The sequence below is a fragment of the Homo sapiens genome, chromosome 7 (genome assembly GCF_000001405.40).
Source record: "Homo sapiens chromosome 7, GRCh38.p14 Primary Assembly".
NCBI classification, from domain to species: Eukaryota; Metazoa; Chordata; class Mammalia; order Primates; family Hominidae; genus Homo; species Homo sapiens.
The window spans coordinates 17,627,983-17,636,378 of NC_000007.14; positions in this window are offsets into that span (position 1 = coordinate 17,627,983).

Consider the following 8,396-nt stretch of genomic DNA (forward strand, 5'->3'; position numbering starts at 1 on the left):
CATGCGAGTTGTGGAGCAAGCACAAACTGTCTTTTGCCTCCCATGGACACTGTAGCCATCTCTTTTAAAATTGATCACTTACTAATCCATACATATAATTATTTTTTAATAAATTTGCATCATCAGAATTGCTGCATCACAGAATATTCACTTTTGGAGGATTTCAATATATATTTATCAAAATTGTCTTCTACAAGGCCTATAGCAATTTACAATCCCACTAGCAGGGTAAGAGAGAAGGGTAATCCACTTCAACCTCCCACCAAATAGTGGGTCAGGAGGCGATAGCGTGCTATCTGGAGCTCCGGCTAAATTTGCTGGGGTTCTGCAGAGTCTCCAATGGAAGGTTAATTTTTAGGCACAGCATTTTGTTTTTGACACAGACCTGCGGCTGCATCTTGGGCTTACAATATATTTTGGTCAGTTTGTTGTATCCTTAATCCTTGCTACTGATTTGGGATAAAACTAGATTATTTCACAAGAACAGTGGTTGCAAATGAGATAAAACCACAAAATCTTACTCTCAGGAGAAGCAAATTGAAAATGGTTTGGATGATGAGTTTCAGTCAGCTTTACTACATGAGCCAGAACATAACATAAACTCAGAGTAAAAGAAATTAGAAATGGAAAAAAAACCAGTTCCAAAGACTAAAAGTGAATAAGCCAAATATCTGAAATTTAACAATTTTTCATATTTATACCCATCACTTGCAATAGATGGAATTGCGTCTGTTCAGTCGGCTTGTGTTTTTTTGTTCATTGGTTTTTTATCAATATCCATCACCCAAAATACAGCAACTAAGGAATTTCTGCAATTGCTAAGCATAGAGCTTACATAGACCCATCTAAATTAGTGCTACCAAAACTCTGACGTGTATACAATTTACCTGAAGGCATTATTAAAATGCAAATACTGATTCAGTAGGCCTGGGGTGGGGCCTGACATTCTGCATTTTTAACAATTCTCCAGGTCATGCTGATGCTGCTGTTTCCTGGGTCATACTTTGAAAAGCAAGAATCTATACTAAATGTACTGAGGAAATACAGCAGGACATCAACTGTTTATCCCTAAGCCAATTGTTGTCCACAATAGTATCACAGTACACCAGTATGACCATTTCCACTGAAGAGGAAAGTGATAGAATTAGAACAAGCACCTGGTCTTGAGAATCACTTGTGTACACCACAACCTATGCTATCAGTGACCCAACCATTAGTTACTTGACAGGGCTATGTTGCCTTAAGAACTTGTGAGCAGGTGTGTGGGGCAGAAAAGAAGAAAGTGAAAATAATCACCTCAAGAACTTTTCTGCCATAACTTGAGAAGTGTACTACTTATTTTTTAGCCCTAGAGCTCCTTCCAGAAGGGGATCTCATCAGGTTGATTAAAAAAGACATATCACCAAAGTTATTAGTCATTTAAGTGGGCGGGGGGACAAGATGATATTGTGGAAATTTTAAGCATACCCTTCTATAGATTGACATTTATGTGCAATATATATGACCCCTGGTTTCCCAAGCACCATAGAGAAAGAACAATTTTCTAGCTAATATAGTTGAGATAAACATGAGCTGAGAAAAACAGTTCTAGAACTATTTCCAATGATTTAAGAAGTAACATGATATTCCCAAAACAAAATTAATTTTTAAAATAGATATATTTCAATTAGACATTAGAAGAAAAGAGAGTGATACAAAAGCTGCCATAAAAAACAATTTTTAAAAATTATTAATTTAGATATAATTATTTACTACCTCCTCAGAAGCATTGAAAATTAACTGGACTATGGAAACACATAAGAAAAGTCAATGCGCAATGACTAAGTGTACTATTTCTACATAGTTCACTGAAGGACTGGCTTTGCAAAAGCCACTAAATTTTACCTACATGAGTGACAAAGTTCTATTTCCAATAATCAAAAAATATCTGGCAGCAGTAAATTTTACTTGGTAACTTATAATAATCAAATTTAGGAGTATATTTTCTAATATTTTAAGAAGCACACCTTGCCTTATACATGGAAATACGAATTACTATCGTTAAAGTAATAACCACAGATAGTATGTGTAGCTATCATGTGGTTGTATTTGAGAACAGAGTTTCTTATCCCAAGCTTTAACCTCGGATATAATCCCTTCTCAAATGCCCTGTTAGGGTTTCTTTCTGAGCCTCTTGCACATTCTTTGGATTTATTTAATGATGGATTCCTTTGAGAATGGCTTGTATTTTTAAAAATAGCCAAAAGCCATTTGAAAACAAGGATAATGGACAAGGAAGGACAATAAATACTGTTTGAGGGAAACAGAAGTAAATAACTGGGATTGATTTTCTTTTGTAGCCAGTGAGTGCATTCTGAGGCCATTCTGAAGTTAGAGCTCCAAAAATATTTTGAGCCGCAAAAGTGTTATTTGAATAGCATTGTGATGACTTGGAAGACTAATACATATTTAAAGATTATTTTGTTGAAAAATTGATTCATTGCTCTTAATCCAGTGTCAACACATCCACAAGGGTGCACAGATGGGTTTCAGGGCAATCTCCTGCAACTGCATGTCAAATGTGGTAGGTACGTGCCTTTGGGTTTATTTGTTATCAGAGGAGAAAACTGTTCTCATCAGAGTTTCAAAAATGTTCATAATTCACAAAAAAGAAGCAAGTTAGGATGTCCTGCAGATATGTGTGCTCAGGCCACCTACTTACTTGCAGTGTAACCTTGAGCAAATTACTTAAACTCCCTAAACAGGAGTCTCTTCCTCCATAAAACGGTGATAATCATATCTATCCGGAAGATTGGCATGAGAATTAAAGTGAATGCAGTGCCTGGCACATGGTAACAACTCAATAAATGGTAACCTTGTTGATACACAATTGTATAGCCTTAACATGACTTAATTTCTCAAATATCCTGTTCATTGCCAAATAGCCTTGACTCTCCTTGTGTCATTTCATCCTTCTCTCAAGGCTCAGAGAAAAATGGTATCATTTTCCACACTGACTCCCCCAATCTCTCCATCTTGTTCCTTCATGTTTCTTGGATCTTACTTTCTCATTGCTTCCTTCAACATCTTTCATCTCTCTTCCTCTGCTGTGTTCTTCTCTCCATACTAGTTCCCCACTTTTTGCAAAATATTTTCTTGCCATAATTCTATCTATAATTGTATACCTCCTTTTCCTTTTACCATCTCTTTTTGAATATGTGGTGGGCTCCAATGTGTCCAGTTCTTAATTCTTAAATGGCTAAATATGGTTTCTGCATGTGAATGAAAATGAAAGGTCAGCAGTTACATTCCCAGGAGCTGACTTCTCTCGCAAACTGCTGGTCAGAAACAAGGCTGGTGAACGGTTCTGATGAGGCTTCATTTGGGCATTGTCCTGTGTATGGAGACAAAGATCTACTGCAGACCTTGTTGCTAATGTATTCTCAATTCCTCAATTTTATTCGTGCTATCAGAACAAGCTCCATCCTAACTAGACTATGTGATGCTCTTTATCAACTAACCAGCATAACATGCACACTCAACATGAACAGATATCCAGAAAGAATGACTTCAAACACTTTCAAATGTCTTCACATAGCTTTTCTCAATTCTCAGCCTGTGGTATTGCTTATAGCATTGAGTGTGGCAGCCTTACCTCAAGCTCCATAATTTTTTTTTTTTTGAGTTGGAATTTCACTCTTGTCGCCCAGGCTGGAGTGCAGTGGCATGATCTCAGTTCACTGCAACCTCCACCTACCGAGTTCAAGGGATTCTCCTGCCTCAGTCTCCCAATTAGCTGGGATGACAGGTGGTGCCACCACCGGCTATATTTTGTATTTTGAGTAAGACAAGGTTTCACCATTTTGGCCAGGCTGGTCTCAAACTCCTGACCTCAGGTGATCCACCCACCTGGCCTTCCAAAGTGCTGGGATTACAGGTGTGAGCCACCGTGCCCAGCGCTCTATATTATTATCGCTTGCATCTTAACACATCTACTCAAATACAATATCACTAAAACTGAAAATAATCAATAGCTAAATTTTCATCCGCCTGAAACTGGTTCTCCTACTCCACCTTCTTGAGTCTCCAGTTTGTGCCAGTGTTATCACTCAAGTTCCCTACTATGAAAAAACCGACCCTGGTGATGAGTTGACACCATGAAACAGAGACTCCAACAAGGAGTAACCTGCAGCACCTCTCTTCCCACTCCTAAGGGATCAGCTATCCCAAAGCATTTGGTCCTCTCCTTTCAGTTTAATCTGAAATTAGCCTAGTCCATTCCTAGGGCATAGATATGAGGTCTCCTATTTTAGGAACTAGGTCTTGCTCTGAAGGTCCAAATTTCTTGAGGTCAAAAGTAATTAAATTTGGAAAACTTTCCATTATGGTGAGCGAAAATCTCCAATACAATTAATTCAGAGTTTTAATAGGGCTTTTTATGATTTTAATAATGCTATCCATATTTGTAAGCAAATTAGAGCTTCAAAAGACCATTTCATCTCTTTCTATATTATATATGTGCACATACACACAAACACACACACACATAAACATGTGCAGTTATTTATTAGTCAAAGATTTATTGAGCAACTTTCATACTCAAGTTAGGTTGTTAGGCAAATGGGATACGAAGATGACTAAAATATCATCTCTGTCCTGGAAAAGGTCATTACTAGAGGAGACAAATATATAAACAAATAACATCGTAACAATAGCAGTTGTACTAGCTAACTCTTGCTGTGTGCTTCCTGTTTGCTAGACACTTTGTCAAGTGCTTTACATGGATATTTTATTTAATAGTGTGCAATAATACTACAGGTAGGTACTATTATAGATAAACAGAGGTTTTAAAGATGTTGGGTGCCTTGTCCAAGCCTATGAATGGGCAAAAGCTTCAAACCTAAGTCTGTCTAACCTGTAAAGCAAACTTTGAACTAGCACATTTTCTTGCATCCAAAATTCTGGAGGAGCAAAGAAACAGGAAGAATGCCATGGGGTATGCAGCAAGGAAGGTGGTTCTTACTCCACAGCTAGTCTTGGACTTACTAGAGAAAAGGGACACTGATTGAGTCCCTAGAACCTAAAGCCTAGGGAATAAAAGGAGGCAAGGAGCAGGGGTCCTTCCAAAGTCAGAGCTGCATTGCTGGGAACTGCTTTATCAATTGGCCCAGGCAGCCCAACCCTCGGTACAAGAGGCATAGGAGGACTCCCTTGCCTCTCTTTGTACCTCTCAGTTAGGTTTACCAATAGCTCAGACATTGTTGATCTGTGTTGTCATTCCCATTTATCACTACAGTGTGAGTCATTGTTTTCCCATACTGCTTCTTTGAAGAAGCAATAGATGTGATCCACACCCATTTTACACTGGTCAGCAGCACTGGAATTGAGGAACAACCAAGGACAGTTACACAACAAAATTTTTGGTAACACAGGCCTAATATCTGCCTCATAAAACTTTTCTATTTTTTTTTTTTTTTTTTGAGACAGGGTCTCACTCTGTTACCCAGGCTGGAGTGCAGTGGTGCAATCTTAGCTCACAGTAACCTCTGCCTCTGGGGTTCTATTTATCCTCCCACCTCAGCTTCCCAAGTAGCTAGGTCTACAGGTATGCACCACCATGCCCAGCTAATTTTTGTATATATTTTTGGTAGAGGTAGGATGTCACCATGTTGCCCAGGCTGGTCTTGAACTCCTGGGATCAAGCAATCTGCCCACCTTGGCCTCTCAAAGTGTTGAGATTACAAGCATGAGCTACCGTGCCCAGCCTATAAAACTTCTCTTAGAAAAAAAAAAGTTATCAGGTATCTTGAGCTCTTTCAAAAAGGCAAAACAAATTCTTAGTAACATTTATGTACTTCTCATACTTTTTGCTATGGGAAAAGATACTTTTTGCTACGGGAAGACTTTTTAATTGACACATAACAATTGTACATATTTATGGGGTACAAGTGATGTTGTGATATATGTATACAATGTATAATTATAAAATCAGGATAATTGGCATGCCCATCTCCTCAGACACTTATCTCTTTGTCTTCAGAACATTCAAAATTCTTTTATCTATTTTGAAATGTATAATAAATTATTGTTAACTATGTGTTATAGAACACTATTGTGTTCTATAGACACTAGAACTTATTCTTTCTATCTAAGTATAATTTTGTACTTTTTAATCAACCTCTCCCTATTCCTCCTCCCCTTTACCTTTCCCAGCCTCTGTAATCACTATTCTACTCTCGACTATGAGATCAACTTTTTTAGCTCCCAAATCTCAGATAACATGTGGTATTTGTCTTTCTGTGCCTGGCTTATTTCACTTAACATAATGTCCTCCAGGTTCATCCATGTTGCTGCAAATGACAGGATTTTATTCTTTTTTATGGCTGAATAATACTCCTTTCTGTGTATTTACCACATTTTCTTTATCCATTCATTCACTGATGGACACTTAGATTCCATATCTTTGCTACTGTGAATAGTGCTGCAATAAATATGAGAATGTGGATATCACTTCAACACACTGATTTCCTTTCATTGGGATATATACTCAGTACTGGGATTGCTAGATCATATGGTAACCCTATTTTTAGTTTTTAAGGATCCTCCATACTGTATTTTATAATGACTGCACTAATTTTCACTCCCACTAACAGTATATGAATTCCTCTTTCTCCGCATCTTTGCCAGTATGTCTTTTATTTATCTTATTGATTATAGCTATTTTAACTGAGGTGAGATGATATCTCACTGTGGCTTTGATTTGCATTTCCATGATGATTCGTGATGTTGAACATTTTTTCTTATACCTGTTGGCCATTTGTAGGTCTTCTCTTGAGAAATGTCTATTCAAATCATTTGCCCATTTTTAAATTGGATTGTTTGGGTTTTTTTTTTTTTTTTGCTATTGAGTTCCTTATATATTCTGGATATTAATCAACACAGGGAATATTAATCCCCTATCTGTGAATAGTTTGCAGCTATTTTCTCCCATCCTGTAAGTTGTCTCTTCATTCTGTTGTTTCCTTTGCTGTGCAGAAGCTGTATAGTTTGACAGTCTCACTTATCTATTTTTGCTTTTGTTACCTGTGCTTTTGAGGTCTCATCAAAAACATTTTTACCCAGACCAATGTCCTGAAGCATTTTTTCTATGTTTTCTTGTAGTAGTTTCATAGTTTAGGTCTTATGTTTAAGTCTATAATCCATTTTGAGTTGATTTTTATATATGGTAAGTGATAGGGGTCTAGTTTCATTCTTCTGCATATAGATATCCAATTTCCCATGACCATTTATTGAAAAAGACTGTCTTTTCCCAAATGTATGCTCTTGGCACCTTTGTTAAAAATCAGCTAGTCATAAATATGTGGATTTACTACCATAAGACTTCCTATCAAAGGTGCTCAAAGTTCTTCATCCACTTAGTCTTCAAAAAATGTTTTCTGAGGCCCTAATATGCACCTAGGCAGTGATCCAAGTACTGGGGTAGAGCTATAAACAGAAAAGACAAAATATCTGCCCTCAGAAAACTTGTTTACTTGCAAATGTAGCTGGATGAAAACTTAAAACTTAGCTTGATAAGGAACTAGTCCTGACAACAAATTACATAGAATGATAAAAAGGACAAGATGCAATTTCACTTATAAAAAGAGCTTCAAAATGAGTTGGCAAGTGGATGAGATTCTTTTTAAGCTATGATTTTATTGTTTTTTAAAAAACATGTCTTTTTAATTTTTTTTAAATCAAGCTATGTAGAAAATTACAAAGAAAGAAAGCAATAAATCGCCCATATCCTCCTTTCTGGATTCGCTCATGCTATCTTTGATGAATACAATTCCAGACATCTCTGGGCAGCTTTAGACACAGGTAGATATGATGGTATATGAGAAGGATCACACTATATGTGATTTTAGTAGAATTATTAAATAAAACTATACTTGAATTTAAAAAGAAACAGAAATTGGAGTAAAACTGGCTTGGATTATTGAACTGTAAATAAATATTTTTAACGAACAGTAATACTAAAAATTCATCAAAGGGAGGGCTGGAAATCCACATGCAGAAGAATAAAATTGGAACTTTATCTCACACCATATAAGAAAATAAACTCGAAATGGACTAAAGACAAAAATGTAAGATCTGAAACCCTAAAACTACTAAAAGAAAACATAGAGGAAAAGCTACTTGAAAGCGGTCTGGGCAATAATTTTTTTGGATATGACAATGAAAGCATAGGCAACAAAAATAGACAAGTGAGATTGCATCAAAAGACAAACCTTCTTCAGAGCAAAGAATACAAACAGAGTGTAAAGATAACTTCTGGAATGGGAGAAAATATTTGCAAGCCATATATCTGATAAGCAGTTCAAATCCAAAATATTTAAGAACCCAGACAACTCATCAGAAAATAACTTAAAAATCAA